Source organism: Homo sapiens, chromosome 1 (genome assembly GCF_000001405.40).
Source record: "Homo sapiens chromosome 1, GRCh38.p14 Primary Assembly".
Classification (NCBI taxonomy): domain Eukaryota; kingdom Metazoa; phylum Chordata; class Mammalia; order Primates; family Hominidae; genus Homo; species Homo sapiens.
The window spans coordinates 31,734,111-31,750,573 of NC_000001.11; the positions used below are offsets into that span (position 1 = coordinate 31,734,111).

Genomic DNA, 16,463 nt, shown 5'->3' on the forward strand with positions numbered 1-16,463 from the left:
GCAGGGGGCAGGCACAATGGACTCTGAAGTCCCCGGAGGTGTAGCCAAGACTAAGAGAGGGTCTAATCACAGTAATAAGAGCTACGCTGATTAACCACCAATTCTCTACCAGGCCCTACACTGAACACTTTACATATATTACTTCAAATCATGATCAAAACAACTCCAATTAACAGGCATGGGATTATTATCCCAATTTACAGATGAGGAAACTGGAGTGAGCCCAGCTGGGCAGGGAGAGGCACAGTTGGGATACAAACACAGCTTGACCGACTCCAAAGCCCAAGCATTGAAACAGCTAGTGCAGACGGGGTGAGGGAGGCAGACGGCAGCCCAAGACAGAGGGAGCTTCGTGGTGACGGTGCCAGCTGCCTCCAGAGGCCCTGAGCTCCCTGACCCTGCAGGTGTGCAAGATAAAGCTGGACCTCACTGGGCATGGAGGCTTGGGTGGATTTCCAGACCTGGGTGGGAGGTTGAGCCTAAGGTCTTTGTGGATTTGTTTTACCCTTGCATAGCTGGGATTTTAAGATTCTCAGATGCTAGGGCGGGGGTCTCAGTGAAATAATTCTCTACCTCTGTGATTCTCTGTCTCCAATTGAGTGTGAGATTCAATGCCTCTGAAATGCTAAGTCTCAGATTCTATGACAGATGATAAGACTGGATGATTCACTCATTCTAACATTCTTAGCTTCTGATTGTCTTATTCTAAGATTCTATCATTCTAATTCTAAGGTTCTATAGCTCAAAAATTCTAAGGCTTAAGATTGTCTGAGCCTCTGTAGGTTGGGGGTGTGGGGCGGTGCAGGATAGAACATTAGCTGGGAGTGAGGGCAGGGGCGGGATCCAAGGGTGGGCGAAGGAACCGGGCACCTGTGGGAGGCACAGACATCCACTCCTCATCGCCTTGGCCACCTCTTGCCGAGCCCTTGAGAGTGTGTGGTGGCTGGCAGGAAAGGGCAAGCTTTCCAGGGCACTGGGCTGATATCCCTCCTCCTCCCCCCACCATGGGCACTGCCCCCCCCAATTCCTTTGCCCCACCCACCCCCACCGCCCCCCAGGGGGCACGACTAACATGGCGTTCCTGGCCGAGGCTGAGCTGAGCAGGGGGCTGGGGACCGCTCCACACGCTGAGCAGGGGAGGAGCAGGCTGGCCCAGGGGCACCGCTCCGACCTCGGGGGCGGCACAGACATGGGAGAAGGAGGGGAAACACATGGGAAGCCGGGAGATGGGGCAGAATGAGCCCCGAGTGGGGTGGGAGGGGAGGGCAGACGAGAGAGAGAGAGCTGGGTTAGGGTGGGTGAGGGGCTGCGGCTGAGCACTCCGGGTGCCCACCTTGCCTGCAACCTTGATGCACCAAGGTTGGGGAGCCCCGGTCGCATCATCGAGCCCTGAGTCTCCAAGAGCACCCATGTCCCTCCCTCCCTGCACCATTTCCAGAAAGGCCAAGTCTCAGAGGCCCCCCCCTTACCCGGCCCTCTGCTTCTTGGATTTGTCGGAGATGCCATCACGTGCCATGAGCTTGTTGAAGACGATGATTCCGATGAGCATGTTCACCTGGGGGCCCAGTAGAGTGGAGTGGGGGAGACAGGATCACCAGGTGCCCTCCTGGCAGGGAAATCCCCATGTGGGAGCTGGAGCGCAGGGAGGAGGTAGAGGGAGAAACAGGATGACCCTCTGGGGCCATGCCCCTTCCAAGATGCTGAACGGGCACATACCAGGACAATGACGGCTGCAGGGCCCACAAAGGCGTAGAGCAGGCCGCCCTCCAGGGAGAGCCAGCAGCTGGGGTGGGGGAGAAGAAGGGTGTCAGACACCCAGCAGCCTCCCTCCCCACCCTCAAACACCATCCCTCAGTCCTCCCAGGCTGCCATGCCCGCATCACCAGTGCAGTCTGAGCCCCAGACGGTGAGAGTGAGCCACTGGCTCCTGCTGAGCCTCGGTTTCCCCTCCAACAAAGGTCCAGAACATTAGGCTCATCCCCCAGTGCTCCCATGGGGATGAAGCAAGGCTGACTCCTGAGCTAAACAGTCCCTTAGGGATTACCCAGTCCTAGCACATTCCCTCAGTCAGGGAAACTGAAGCTCAGAAATGGGGAGGAACTTGCCCAAAGACCCAAAACAGGCATGGGCTAGGATTTCAGCCAGCTGCCCAGTCCGATTCCCTAACAGATCCACTACCCGCTACCACCCACCACGGGAGGCCCACGTACTAGCTGGATGTACCGTATCCTTTCGTTCGGGTAAAGCCAACAGACACGGCCACCACCAGGGCAGGCAGACCTGGGGGAGCAGGGGTGCCAGAGTGAGATGGTTGCTGGTCTTCAGGGACCCCTTGTTCTCCCAGACTCCCATCCCAGCTGACCCCTGTGCCCAGAGAGCTGGGCCAGGGCCAAAGCTGAACCTCTCTTGCTGCCCCTGCCCACCAAGGCCCAGCAGCAGAGTCCAGCACTGGCCCTGCTCACCCCAGCCCAGGCAGAGGAAGCGCTTGCGAACGAGGCGGGTGCGCATCCGCCCAATGACAGCCAGGTAGGACTGCCAGGCCTCGGTAAGCACCCAGCAAAAGGAGGAGAGAAAGAAGAAGTGCAGGAAGGCAGCCGTCATGGTGCACACGCCCTGCAGGGAGAGGGAATGGGAGGGAGTGGCCCTGAGCAGCCGCCAGGGCAGGAGGCGCCGGGCTTCCCACGCCCGCTGCTGGGCGCTGCCACAGCCGCCCACCTGAGCCCCGCCCCCCACAGAGCCCTGCCAGGCACCCCCGCCTTCCTGCACCCACACACAGCACGACACGGGCCTGGTGACACACACACAGCACTCGGCATCCAGGGAGGCGGGTGGGCAGGCTGCCCACGCACAGACGGGGCTGGCAGGGAGGGGGACAGACATGAGCACCTGCCACGTCACAGCTGGGCAGGCCCTGTGCCTGGCATGCATGGTGCTGGCACTGTGCAGAGAAGGCCAAGGGGGCATAGGGAAGAGTCTGCACAGGTCGTCCACAGGTAGGTGGCAAAAGGAGGCCTCACTCAGGCTTCCACACGCTCACAGACACAAGGAGGCCCAATGCCACCTGCCCAACACACACCCAGCGCTCAGCTCACACACACATTTACTGATGTTCACAGAAGTTCCTCACTTGAGTACACACCCCCTCTCCAATGTCCTCACATATGGTCTCACACACTATTTCATACACACTCTAATCCCAACATGGGGCACACATACACCACCACTAATGGACGTACAAGCAAACACACACACTGCGCTCTCCACCCTCACCCCTCCACCCCACTCACACCCCTGGCAGCCCTGGAAGTCTGCACCTGCCTTGCTCAGCACCCGGGACTGGCCCACGAGGATCAGGATGTTGGATGCCAAGATGGACAGGCAGAAGTTCAGCAAGATGATGGAGCGTTCAGATTTTATGAACCTGCCGGGGCACAGCAGGCAGGGACAGAGGCGCTGGCTGCCCCATCCGACCTGGTGTGGCTGGCCACCTTCTGCGCCTGCCCCCCCTCCCCCAGCCACAAGAGCCAGGTGTCAGACCTACCTCCAAAAGGCGGCATAGATGGCGAGCAGGGTGAGCAGCGCCATGCACGACACTGCACAGCCGATCACCAGGGGGACCGAGGGGGAGCCCGCCAGCTCCAGGGTCTGGGGAAGATGGGCAGACAGTCAGATGGGTTCCTGGGAGGGGGGAGCTGCAGGGGTGCCCTGTCCCCTCATCTACCATAGACTGGCATACCCACAGGCAGAAGGGCAACACCTTCTTGCTGTTGTACTCATGTATGCACAGAACAGACCCGGGTATCTATGTGGACACATATTTATGCTCAGTCACCTGCACTCTTCTACACACAACCAGACACACACATGTGCACACACACACACACAACTGGCCACTGCCGCATACCCCCAGGCAAATATCATTGCTGTGAGCACAATCCCAGGGGCACAGACATCCACGTACAATCCCACAAGCGCACCTGCAGATGCACATTCAGGATCACCCAGGCGCCTGCCAACACCATCACTGATGGCTGCTGGAAGCCCAGGGCCTCCTCCCTTATTCAGCCCAGGCACCTCTGTTCCACTCACCAGGTCCTTGGGCGGCTGGGCTAGTACAGCAAAGGTGGACAGGTGCTGGCACTGGCAGCGGGTGTGAGCTGCCTGGGTCTCCAGGGTCTGGCAATTTTCAGTGTCCCAGTCTCCTGAGCTGGCATCTCTTGGGTAGGGGAGAGATTCAGTGAGCCCCAGGCCAGCTACGTGGCCCTGCCCCCAGTCCTGGCCACTGCCCAAGGACAGGCTAAATCCACAGTAAGGCCACATCCACGAGGCAACAGCAGGGAGTCCCAGGATACGTTCTTGACCCCTTAGGCTAGGATGGCACCAAAAATCCCTCTTGCCTTTTAGGCAGGAGACCCCTTTCTGGCAAAGGGCCCTAGGGCTGCTCCCTTCCTCACCCAGAGGAGCCACCCAACTCACGCTCTGGAGTAGTCCCAGCTGGCGCAATGGGGATCCGTGGTCCCCTGGGGAGCAAAAGACATGAGTGCAGTCTAGGGAGGGAAGCTCACCACACCCCACCACTGCCCATGCCATGGGGGCCACAGCAGCTCCCACACAGGTCCAGGGTTCAGCCCACCATCAGGGACAGAGTGCTTCCCACCAGCCAGGCCTCTGGCCACCCAGGTTGAGGTGCACCCAAGGTCTCTGCATGGATCTCCACTCACATTGATGATGTAGGAGAGCTCCACAGTGATGAGGGGCTCAGCTGGAGGCTGGGTAGGGGGGCGCACAGTCACTGTCATCACCCGGGATGTGACGGCCAGCGGGGGCCTGCGGGACAGGTACCGAAGTCAGCTCCTGCCAGCGGGTGCCAGCCCCAGTCAGAAACCCTGAAGCCGCTTTGGATGGGTGTGCAGAGGCTTCCAAGGAGCCAAGGCCCAGGGGAAGGCCTAACTCAGTGGGGTCCAGGACTTCAGGTGAGGTCTAGAGCTCTGTCCCTCACCCGCTGGGTGGCAGCCCAGCCTCTGAGAGCAGTATGGATAAATTTGAGAAGCATGTGTCCAGAGCCAGGCAAGGGGTTCCTGAAGGTGGAGGAGGCTGCCATGGATCTCTCTGCAGCCAGCACTGGCTCAGTCCTCCTTCCCTTACCTGGGCCTTCCTGGACCCTCAGCAGCCCCAGCCACCCATCCCCAGGACTCACCTGGGAGGCGGCAGGATGAGGCCAAGGGTGCGGTAGAGTACAGCACCGATCACAAAGTAGGAGGACTCATCAGGGTCTGCTGGGAGGAGGCGCTGGTGGGAGTGGCCTGGGCCAGGAGGCACCGTTCCTGGGCCCCTCCCCCTGCCAGGGCTGCCTGCTGCCCCAGATGTGGCTGGCTTCCCTGGGGAGGAGAGGCTGAGCACCTCCTTGGGCAGGAAGAGGCGGTCCTCTGAGTGCCGCACCCAGTCCTTCATGCCCCGGCGGCCCCGCATGGGGAACGTGATGTCACTGGACACAGCTGAGACGGGCTCTCGCTGAATGCTGATCACTGCAGTGGGAGGAGGGTGGACAGAGACAGACAGAGGGGCAGAAACAAAGGGTGGCAGACCAGGGGAAGAGACAGATGTAGGGGAAACACGTACCAGGAAAGGTAGATGTGGACACCGAAGTTGGTACAAACACAGAGACAGACATACACAGAGAAACAGACCACACATAGATGAAGGAGAGGGTAGAATGTGGACAGAAAGATACAAATACGGGGTTAGGTAGAGGAAAGACAGAACGTCTTGAGTTCTGGCACATTCAGGACCCCCACCCTTGCCTGACTCCTTCTACCTAGATTATCTGTGACAATCAGAGAGCTCTGGAAGGCCTTGAGAGCATCGCCCACCAGGTGAATGAAGTCCTCCACGACACGGAGCAGGTGCACAGAGCCAGGGGACACCTGGGGACAGAAAGTGTGTAAGGGTCCAAGGCAGGGTGGGTCACGGGAGGAGAAGCTGGCAGCTGTGCCCCGCACCTGCTGAGCATCGTCCCACTTCTCCTTGTTTTCCGCATCCACCATGAAGCTCACCACCTGGAAGAAGCGCTGAGGAGAGAGCAATGAGTGGCAGGGGGTCCTAGCCCCAGGGAACAGGGGGCTTCCCCCACTATAGCCACACTTGCCGCCTCTACAGCAGACTCTGCCTAGGGGCCTGGCCTCCCGCTTCAGTTTGGGCCTTCTCCACCCTCCGCCCTCCTTCCTCCTAGGCAGTACCTGCACATCATCAGCCGAGGGCACGTAGGTGGCCCTCTTAAAGGTGTCAGTGACATTCCTCAGAATGTCCACAGAGAAGAGCAGGTCCCCACTATAGTAGGTGCGCCGGGCCAGTAGCTCCTGCAGGCTGCGCACCACCTGCGACATGCCCTCGCCTGCCAGCATGCGCTGCCCCTTGGCCAGGTGCTCCCTAAGCTGTAGGTGATGAGGGGGCCACAGTCACTGAAGTGTCAGGAGCTGGAACCAGACCCTGGCCCATCCCACTCCAGTCCACCCACTGCTTGCATCCACGGGGAGAGAAAGGGGGAAAAGGTCAGAGAGGCTCAAAGGGGCACACAGGGGAGACAGAGTCCGAGAAAGAGACTCATAGAGAGAGAGAGAATCCCAAAGGGTACTTTAAAAAAGACTGAAATAGAAACACCTAGAGAAAAAAGGTGTTCAGATGTACATATAAAAGATATAAGCACAGTATGGGAACAGGGTACCTCCCCATCCCAAAGGGGTCATGTACATTCTGGAGTGTAATGAGCATGTGTGTGGGCGCGCGCGCACACACACACACACACACACACACACACACTGTCTTTCTCTCTCTCACTCTCTCTCAACACAAGCTCTAAATGCATTCACACAATTAATACCCAATTACAGTCAAACATGTACACACATTCACTGATGCTACTCTTACCCCATGACTGGCCCTGGGCTGGATGCTGGGGACACAAAAATAAATTCAAGGAGGCCCCAGTCTAGCAGCACACACAGACACTTGGATGAGCACCTAATGACTGAGGAGCTCATTCTGCAGGAGCGCAGAGGTAGGCACCAGGGATAAAAGAAGACACTTGAGAGTCAGGCCTTGAGGTATGAGTAGGAGCTTGCCAGACAAGGAGAGGCACAGCCAGGCAGAAGTGGGCACAGCATATGCCAAGGCACGTGGGAACGAGCGAGAATCACGCTCCCTCCACCCCCTAGCAGAGTCTGAGACAGATTCTGCTGTGCCCCAGCCCAGCAGGGTGCACTCACTGACAGATACAGGTAGCGGTACTCATGGGAGATGCAGCGAGCAAAGCTGGGCAGCCCCCAGTACGCCACGCCTTGGGCACTGAGGAGACAGCGGCGGCTGGCAGACCCTGCAGGGCAATAGGACAGAGGTCTGGGCATGGGGGCCGAGCTCTCACCCACACTCCTCCGTATCTCAGAGAGGCTGGGGGCGCAGAAGGGGGCAATGAGAATGGCAGGGGTGGTGGTGGTGGGGAAAGCCACCTGCCCCTTACCTGAGGCATTCGGGGGGCACTTGTTGTAGATGATCTCGCCAGCAGCTGCCTTCTTCCACGTCATCAGCATCACGTACTCATCCCTGCACATCTCATGGAAGGCTGTGGGTGCAGGGGTAAGGTTCAGCTGGGTCCACACATGGGGCCCCCAGCCCCCAGGGTCATTAGGGCAGTACCTGGACACCTCTTCTCACTACAAGGCTTCACCTCCTCTCCGGTGCCCTCGCAGGGGTAGCCCTGCGTGCCCGTGGCCTGGCACATGCGGAAGCGGCGCTGCCAGCCTGTGTCACACGTCTTAGAGCACAGGCTCCACGCATTCCATGGCCCCCACTTGCTATCAGTGGCTGTGGGAGAGGTGAGGCATATGAGTGGGCCCAGGTACCCCCATGGTCAGAGCTGCAACTTGCCACCACTGTGCCAAGCACTCACCCGGGCACTCGAGGTTGCTGCACTCCCGGGTGTCAGTGAGGGCACCCGTGCATGTGGCCCAGGCTGGGCCCGCCACGCTGCACTTCCGGCTGCGCTGTTGGGTCCCATTGGCACAGGACGTGGAGCATGGGCCCCAGGGACCCCATTCTAACCACTGGCCTTCCACTGCATGGGGAGACACAAGCAGGGGTGGCTGTTGAGCAGGATGTGTGAGGGCTGGTGGTGTGGAGAACCACAGGAAGACCCAGAGCCTGCTAGGCATTCAGATTTGAGCCAGGCCAGACCCACTGGAGTGGGGAGGGGAGGGGGTTATGAGGAAGGCTGGAGTGAGCAGGTGGTGCCTGGGCCTCATGCTGCCTGCCTGCCACCAGCTCCAGAAATACAGGACACCTCTCCTCTTAGCACAAGGCACAACTCACTTCTGGCTAAGGGAAGGGGCTGCAGGGGTGTCTTCTGATCTTTGCCAGCACTTCAGCCCAGCTTTGTGTCCTCTCACAGTCCAGCTGGCCATGCACCAAAATGCAAGGGCAGCCCAGGGCTTGGAGAAAGAGCTGTCCCCTCTTGATGGCGTCACAGGGTACTAACTCATGTCAGGGCTAGGGGTCAAGTCAGGGCTAGGGGGTCACCTCGCACACAGGCAGGCATACTTCTCCAGTCTCCCCATGCTTGGTCAAAGTTTAAGGGGCCCCCAGGGGCAGGTCACTGGACCTGACTGCCTCCCCAGGTCTCCCGACCCCCCACCGGGCTGGGCAGCGCCCTCATGGAAGCCCACGGGTGCTACTGACCCGGGCAGGCAGCCATACTGCAGAGCTTAGTCTGCAGCTCAGGACCCTCGCAGGCCTTGCCGCCGTGCTGGGGGGGCACGCAGGTCCGCATCCGGCTCCGGGACCCCCGCCCGCAGCTGCGGGAGCACAGGCTCCAGGACCCCCACTCCTCCCACACGCCGTGCACTGCAAGGAAGCACGTGGCCGGTGGCTGGGCGGCACCATGGCCCCGCCCACCACCGGCGCCTGCCCATCCGCCCACCAATCAGGAGCTCCGCAGCTCTGCGGCTGCTCCTCATTGGCTCTGCCCCGGGATCTGTTGCCAGGGGGATCTCCCAGGGCCCCACCAAGGCGCGACCCTTTGAAGGGATGTGCAAGACACAGGCTTCCGGTCCTAATTCACATAGGACAGCCCCTGTGGACGCCTGGACAAGGGGGCCAGGACCAACAGGAGGGGAACCAGGGGTCCTCCTCTCCTGAGGGCACAGGAAAATTCAGGAAAGGACCCAGGACCCACGCCATTCCACCCCTCCCCATCCCACCCACCCCTAGACCCAGAGCCTGAATACAACACAGCAGTCCGGGGGCAAGAGAAGCGCCCTTCCCAGCCCCAAGCGCACAGACACACAAATAAACATGAACCTCTACATGGACACCGACACACCGAGCTCACACGCTGGAACACAGCTTTGCCCCAGGCCTTTGCAAACTCCTGCCATACCCCCAGGTACCAAGAGCCCTTCCCAGGTAGGCCCTGCTCTAAATCCACAGCACCACTGGCATGGCCTAGGCCTCACTTCACCCACTCAGGGAGCAAGGAGCAGGACTGGCTGAGGCTACCCTGCCCTTGCCGTCTCAAGCAAGCACATGCATTTCCTTAACAACTACACACTCAACTGAGGGAGGCTTAGGGGAGGCTCCCTTGAGAGGGGGTGTCCAAAGGAAGGAGGGGAAGGTCAGGGAAGTGGCGTTTGTCTTAGATCTTGAAAGACAGGCTGAATTTGAATAGCCAAGGTCAGGGAGAAAGGATAGGACAAGAATCAGCAAATGCAGGGAGGTGGGAAAGTGCGCAAGCTACTGATATGGCCAGAGCGGAGTGGGTAAAAACACGAGCCTTGGTTACCAGGATGCAGGCACTGGGGGAATGATGTGCCCAGAACCGGGCCCAGTAGCATGGGCCCTGGTCTGATCCATCTGTGCCCCCAGTGCCCTGCACCGGGCTGGCATGGTACGCAGAGTTGGGCATGGTGTGGGGAACAGCCACATTTGTTGAATGAAAGGAGGAGGCAACCAACCATTTTGGAGATTAATCTGCCCAAGTCCCAGGCAGGACCTAACCCTGCAGGCAGGTGGGGTGGGGAGGAGGATGGGCCTACCTGGGCAGGTGGCTGAATTGTTGCAGGGCCTGGTCTCCCGCAGGGGCCCGCTGCACAGGGTCCCATAGGGGGAGGACACACAGGAGCGGGTCCGCACCTGCAGACCCTGCCCACACGTCAGGGAACACACGCTCCACGGGGACCACTCCTCAGCCGCCGGGTCGCCTACGAGAGAGGGACAGCGTCGGCGGCAGGGGGCACCTCCCAAGCACTCAGTCTCATAGGGATAGGGGGAGTGGCAGTAAGGTGGGGGCAGGCATCAGAGGGCTCCTCCTACCCTGACCCCAAGTAACAGGCTCTTCAGGAGGCCACCCAGCCCTTCCCACAAGCTTCATGTGGCACAGACGCGACTGAACTGCAGGACAGAGACAGACAGGCACACACCAAGCACACACACCACCAGACGCACACAGTCGGGCCCCCGCCGCAGAGGAAGGGAGGCGGGCCCGAGTTACCTGTCTGCGCCATGTATAGCCCAGGCTCATCTGCAGACCTCGGCCACTGGGTTTTCACTTTCGGTTCCTCTTCCGGCTCCTCACCTGGAACACGGAGGTGGTGGCAGGGGCTCAGCAAAGGCCAGCTAGGTTCTGTTACAGTGGCACAGTGAAGGCAGCCTTCCTTGCCCTCCGCCTGAGGGCCTGGAACCAACTGCATGATGCTCTCTCAGGATCACATTCTGCCCTCTGCCCCACCACCACTATTTCACAGACAAGGAAACTGAGGTTCAGAAGGCTACACAGGACTAGGCCCTGACCTCACAGTCATCTTTTCCACCTCTTGCCTCAGCCAGATGTGGGGGAGATTTAAGGGGCATGGCTGCCCATATGAAAGAGCTCTGGGAATGCTTCTGTGCCAAGTGCGGCCCATAACCCTCTCCTTTAGTCCTCTCACTGGAAAGAAGAACCATCATCTCTGTTTACAGATGAGGAAACTGAGGGCTAGACAGGGGAAGTGCCTTGTCCAAGAGCACACAGCTGCATTTGCTCCTCCATTGTACTGACTCCTAGGGGCTGAAAAAACATCCAAGCTGAGCTGCTGCAACCCTGGCCCCGAGCCTATCTCTGAGATACAGTTCATGCTCCCCAAGCAGCACTGGACTGTGACCTGGAGGCACAGGTCAGAATGCCACTCCTCTGAGACCCAAGGGGCCTAGGACAAGTGCCCACATCCAACAGACCTTTCTCCTGCTGGCCCTGAGGCCAGGAGAACAGCAGGTGCTCGAGGAGGCCAGGCTACCTTGACCCTGGCCCCACCAGGCTCTCAGCTGCCCTGATTTATGTGTCTGGGCTAGGCCTTGGAAGCACTACCAGCCCTGGTGGCTTCCATTCTCCAAAGCCTGGCCCTCCTGCACAGACATGAGCTCATCAGGGCCCTCTCCCACAATGGGGTGTCAGGGAGGGGCAGACATGGGCACAGAAGGGAAAGGCCCAGCAGCCTCTGCATGAGCAGGTGGGACTGGAAGAGCCTTTGAGGATGGGCTCACCCCATGCTATCCCCAGACTATTAGGTGCTCCTCTCCCCCACCTCCAGGCTCCTTCCTATCTCTAAAAGCCAGCAGTACTGGACAGGCACGCTGAGTGTGAAGGGACCCACCAGGGCTGCCTCTTCCTGCCCCCTGCTGCCCAGCCCGGGCTCTGCAGCTGAGAGGAAGCTCTTTCTCACCAAGCATGAGGAGCAGCCACCCTGAGCAAATCTGCTGCTGGGGGCTCAGAACTGCCACCCAGCCCAGCCTCTGGTCTCATCCACTCTGGGGCCTTTCCCTCCACGTCAGTCACCAGCCCCAGGGCCTGATCCACATGATCCCTGAAATTTCTCCATCTCTGAAACCTGGACTCCCAGAAGAGCTTTGGAGTGAATTAACCCTGGATCCCAAATGGGGTGTGGACATTGACCAGCTGTGTGGCCTCGGGCATGTCTCTTCACCTCTCTGACCCTGCTTTATCCTCTGGAGAACAACATTCATTATACTCCGCCCCCAGGACTCACGTGAGGACCCCCTGCCAGGAGGGCCTTGAAACCCTCAGCACCCTGCTTGGCACACGGCAAGTGCTCAGAAGACAGTCATTCTCGTTTATTTTTATCATCTCCCTTCTCTTCACAGCCTCCACCCCTTCCAGCCCCTCATGTGCCACCCGAGCCTACTCCCTCTGAATAGCATCTGCAGTTCCACTTGGCCCCTGCCTCTCTTGGGACCACAGAGGAGGTGGCAGGGCCAGGCGTGCCAGCTCCTCGATCCCCTCCCCCAGCCCTGGAGCCTTGTGACAAGCTACCCTCTCCACGCCCACCCCCAGGCTGCTGAAGAAATCTATGGCTGTGCCAACTGGCACCATGACAGCTTCAGGGGCTCCACATCCGCTGGGCGCCCGGGACTTCTCAGTGGCCCTTCTTGGCTCTGTTCCTTCCTCATTCCCCGCTGTGGCCATACTGCACCTTGTCCTCTCTCCTCAAGCTCATCTCTGCCCACTCTCTCAGCGATGACCTCAACATCGGGAGCCCCCAGCTTCTTGCCCAGCCTCTCCAACTACCAACTTCCCTGCAGCCCTTCTCCCCACAAAGGCCAGCCCCGTGGCCTGGGCCTGCATCCCCCTCCTCCAGCCTTCTCAGGAGGGCTCCACCCATTATCCCTTCTCATCGGCACCCTGTCAGCATTCTCCCCTTGCGGCAGCCCAGGAACAGATCCAGGCCTCCTTCGCTCTCGGAGAGGCCCTCCTCTGACCCTCTGTTTCCCTCCTCCGTCAGTGACTGCTCTGCAGCCAGCACTCTGGTTTTTCACCTGACACTCACTTCCTGGCTCAAATATCACCTCCCCTGTTAATCCACTGCAGTCTGGCTTCTGCCCACATCTCTCTGCTGAACGTGCTCTTGATAAAGTCATCAGTGTCCTCCTTGTTGCTAAATCCTGTGGATACTTTGCAGACCTGGTCTCACTTGACCCCTCAGCAGCATTTGGTCCTGCTGACTCGTCCTCCCTTGAAGCACTCTCCTGGTTTCCCACCTCTCTAGCTACTCTGTCCCCATCTCCTTGAGGGGTCTATTTTCCTGCTGTTTCCCATATCAGGAGTCCATGCTTTGTCCTGTTTTCACTGCACGTGCTCCCCACCAGGCTTAATTAACCCCCTCTGAACCAATGCTCCCAAATCATCATCCCCAGGCCCTGCCTCTCCTGTGCTCCATTCCTGGATATCCTCCTGCCTCCTGAGCAGTTCTCCTGACCATCAAATTCAGCATGTCCAAGAAGCCCACCATCTACTCTCAAATCTCTACTTGCTTGTTTCCCCACCCTCTTTGCCTAGAAAACTCCTACTTGACCTTCAAAACCCACCTCAAATGACCTCTCATCTATGGAAACTTCCATATTGTCAACTCCCCAGGCAGAGTTGGCCACCCCCTCTTCTATGTGCCCTTTCATCACAGATGGGTCCATCTTCTGACTGTCAGAAATACCCCCAACTCTCTACCATAAGCCCGTTGAGGGAAGGCTGTGAGTCCTCTCCTTGACCCCCAGGGAATGCCAGCACAAAACTCAGCCCAGCGAAATACCAAGAAATAAGCACCAATGAATACATTGTTCCCAGCTTCCCCCACAATGGGGCTCACGAGGAATGGTCATTTGTAATCTTGACTCCCCATGCAAAGTATCAGCTCCGTCCCACAGCACCAGCATTCAGATTTGATATGCCAGCCTGCACCAAAGGGACCACTAAGACAGGCTCAAAGACAGAGCTCCTGGCCCCTATTTATTCACAAACACTTTGGAGGTGCAAATCCAGCTGAGAGTCCTCCCATCCAGCTCCTGTGTGGGCTTCCTGCCCATCGTCGTGTCTGGGGCATCTACCAGTCTGGCATCCAGTGCCCACCAAATGCGGACACGTGAGAGACCAGCCTGACCTGCTTGTCGGGGTCTCACACTGTTTCCTGTGGTCCCTGCTCCTCTTCTAACCACTCACAGACCATCTGCTGGCCAGCCCCACAATGTAACAGGAGGGGCAGGGCGAAGCGGGAGTGGGTTGGGGTCAGTGGTTTCCAGAATTCACCCTATTTGAAAATCAGAACATGTCCGAGGTTCAGTTTTTGGATCCCTTTTCCGGCCTCCTGAGCTGGGCCAGAGAGGGGAAGGTACAAGCCCAAGGCCACACAGCCAGGCCCTACACTGCCTGCCTGCCCCTCCATTCCCACCCATCCCACTCAGAGGAGAGGAGAGGCCAGCAATTCATTCCCACACAGGGGAAGGCTGGTTCTCCCTGGAGGGGGAAGAAGACAGATAAGAGCAGAGGTGTCATTTACTGAAACAAACACTTAGTCAGCACACACTGTGTGCAGGCCCCAGCCAGCCCTGAGGCCAAAACAGGGCAATCCAAGAGGAAGCTGAGCCAGGCAGGGTCCAAGAGGACAAGGAGGGGCCCCCAGAAGGGACGTGAGTACCCCCAAGAACTCCTGAGTGTTCCACCCAGTGAGCTCAGCGGCTTGTGGGCCAGGTGCCCCAAGGCCTGCAGTCCTGCAATCTATCAGCTTTCCCGTCGGGCTGCCAGTCATGGGCACAAACAGATGTGCTGCCTGGGACACACTTCCCCACTTGACCACCTGATAACCTCATAACTATTCTGTTCTGAATAAGGCAACGTTTACTAAACAACTCCTACATGCCAGTCACTGTGCACTCAGCATCACCTCATTTCATCCTCATCAGGGCTGGTTTCCCCCATTTTACTAATGAGAAAGGAAGCTCCAAGGTCTCATACTAGAGAGAGGCTGAGGTGGGATTCAAACCCAGGCCTGCCTGACTCCAGAGGCCGTGCTCTTTCCACTGTACTACACTGGCTCTGACAAAATGCCACTCAACTTGGACCTCCTCGGAGACACCTTCCCTAATTTGCATGGGACCCCGAGTCACTCCCCGCCTCCATCTAAGCCCCTGGTCCTTGCCCCTCTTATCCTGTTTTCGTGCTACTGTTTAATTGCTCCTTTGCACACCTGCTCCCCTTTCCCCTGACATGAGCCTGATTCTCCTCTGTGTAACCTCCAAAGTGAGCCTCGGGGATCCCAGCCCCAACCACACCACTCCCCAGCTGAGGAAGTCTTCAGCGGCTCCTCCACGGCTACAGCCAGAGTGTGAAACTCTGAGCCTGGCATGCTCCGGCCCCTGCTGACCTGTCCAATACTGTTTCCCACACCCCACTGGGCAGCCAAGCACACTGCAAAGCCATATGGACCTGTGGAAAGGGCACAGATTCTAGAGCCAGACACATGTGGGTTTGATTCCCAGCTCTGCCACCGTCTTGCTGTGTACCCTTGGGCAAGACACCTCATCTCTCTGAGCTTCAGATTCTCTGAAGGTAAGGAGGACACTTTCTACCATATAGGTTCATTGTGAGAATTCAGTGAAAACAGAGATGTGGACTGTCTGGAGCACAATCCGCTCTCAATGAAAAGGAGATGTCAGCTGAATGAGGTGGCTCACGCCTGCAATCAAGCCCTTTGGGAAGCCGAGGAGGGCGGATCGTTTGAGCCCAGGAATTCAAGACCAGCCTGGGAAACATGGTGAAACCCCGTCTCTACAAAGAAATACAAAAAAATTTTAGCTGGGTTTGGTGGCATGTGCCTGTAGTCCCAGCTACTTGGGAAGCTGAGGTGGGAGGATTGTTTGAGGCCACGAGTTCGAGGCTGCAGTAAGTCATGATTGTGCCACTGCACTCCAGTCTGGAAGACAGAGGAGTCCCTGTTTCAGAAAAAGAGAGAGAGAGAGAGAAAGAAAGAAAGGAAAGAAAGAAAGAAAGAGAAAAAGAACAAAAAAGAAAGAAAGAAAGGGAGATGTAACCCCTTTTCATTATCCCTAGAATGTACAAATGCTTTCCTCCCTCCACACATCTGCTAACACTATTCCCTGCCCTTGAAATACCCTTCCCTCTATTGCAATCTGCCAAAATCATCTACATGTCAGTTGCCACCTCCTCCAGGAAGCCTTCCTAGACTGACAATACAGTGGTTTCGATATGCTGGTCCTCTTTTCTATGGCCTAGTCCCCAGGCCATCTTCTTCTATACCTGTGAGGATCTTGGGCTCATCCCTCCTGTGGTCCCTGAGGAAGGGTCTCAGTCTCCCATGCTGCTCTTGTTCAGAGGGCCTAGCTTCTGGGAAGACAGGCATTCAGCAAACATGGGCCAGATATTGCTGGGAGTTCCTCCACCCCAACCACAGAGAGGCCCCTCTTGCTTCACCCCTGGTGCCAGCAGGCGGGGTGAGCACAGGCTCTTTGTCACTTGCACAGGACTGCAGATACCTGCTATGCTGTGCTTCACAGACCCCTCCCCCCAAACTCCACACAGTCCTGTGCCCTCAGCCTACTATGGTATGAATGTGTTAAAAATAACCACAATAATCATC

The 16,463-nt window shown here is 58.0% G+C and overlaps 1 protein-coding gene across 32 annotated transcripts in view, besides 2 other annotated features; it reads right to left on the reverse strand.

The window, feature by feature from the left end:
- Positions 1–16,463, reverse strand: part of ADGRB2 (adhesion G protein-coupled receptor B2) — a 37,224-nt gene that overhangs the window by 6,994 nt on the left and 13,767 nt on the right. For 9 of the 32 annotated variants that reach the window (XM_011541858.3, NM_001294335.2, NM_001364857.2 and 6 more), the window contains 21 exons: positions 10,538–10,621; positions 10,083–10,247; positions 8,728–8,892; positions 7,943–8,107; positions 7,690–7,857; positions 7,514–7,615; positions 7,263–7,369; positions 6,237–6,431; positions 6,000–6,068; positions 5,816–5,924; positions 5,198–5,525; positions 4,722–4,827; positions 4,477–4,520; positions 4,090–4,216; positions 3,542–3,645; positions 3,319–3,421; positions 2,463–2,613; positions 2,211–2,280; positions 1,717–1,783; positions 1,470–1,555; positions 1,073–1,171 (listed from right to left, as the gene is read on the reverse strand). In XM_011541858.3, the coding sequence (XP_011540160.1) occupies positions 1,073–1,171; positions 1,470–1,555; positions 1,717–1,783; positions 2,211–2,280; positions 2,463–2,613; positions 3,319–3,421; positions 3,542–3,645; positions 4,090–4,216; positions 4,477–4,520; positions 4,722–4,827; positions 5,198–5,525; positions 5,816–5,924; positions 6,000–6,068; positions 6,237–6,431; positions 7,263–7,369; positions 7,514–7,615; positions 7,690–7,857; positions 7,943–8,107; positions 8,728–8,892; positions 10,083–10,247; positions 10,538–10,550 (2,543 nt within the window). In that variant the 5' untranslated portion in view covers positions 10,551–10,621. Of the gene's footprint in view, positions 1–1,072; positions 1,172–1,464; positions 1,556–1,716; positions 1,784–2,210; positions 2,281–2,462; positions 2,614–3,318; positions 3,422–3,541; positions 3,646–4,089; positions 4,217–4,476; positions 4,521–4,721; positions 4,828–5,197; positions 5,526–5,815; positions 5,925–5,999; positions 6,069–6,236; positions 6,432–7,262; positions 7,370–7,513; positions 7,616–7,689; positions 7,858–7,942; positions 8,108–8,727; positions 8,893–10,082; positions 10,248–10,537; positions 10,622–16,463 lie in introns of those variants that run through there. The other 23 variants (NM_001294336.2, XM_047426178.1, XM_047426179.1 and 20 more) reach the window with 10 other exon arrangements.
- Positions 5,230–5,339: a silencer, noted in NCBI's record as "silent region_573". NCBI's record gives its function as "represses an Ori minimal core promoter by ATAC-STARR-seq in GM12878 lymphoblastoid cells {active_cell/tissue: GM12878}" and the evidence as "EXISTENCE:reporter gene assay evidence [ECO:0000049][PMID:35858748]".
- Positions 10,659–10,708: an enhancer, noted in NCBI's record as "active region_651". NCBI's record gives its function as "activates an Ori minimal core promoter by ATAC-STARR-seq in GM12878 lymphoblastoid cells {active_cell/tissue: GM12878}" and the evidence as "EXISTENCE:reporter gene assay evidence [ECO:0000049][PMID:35858748]".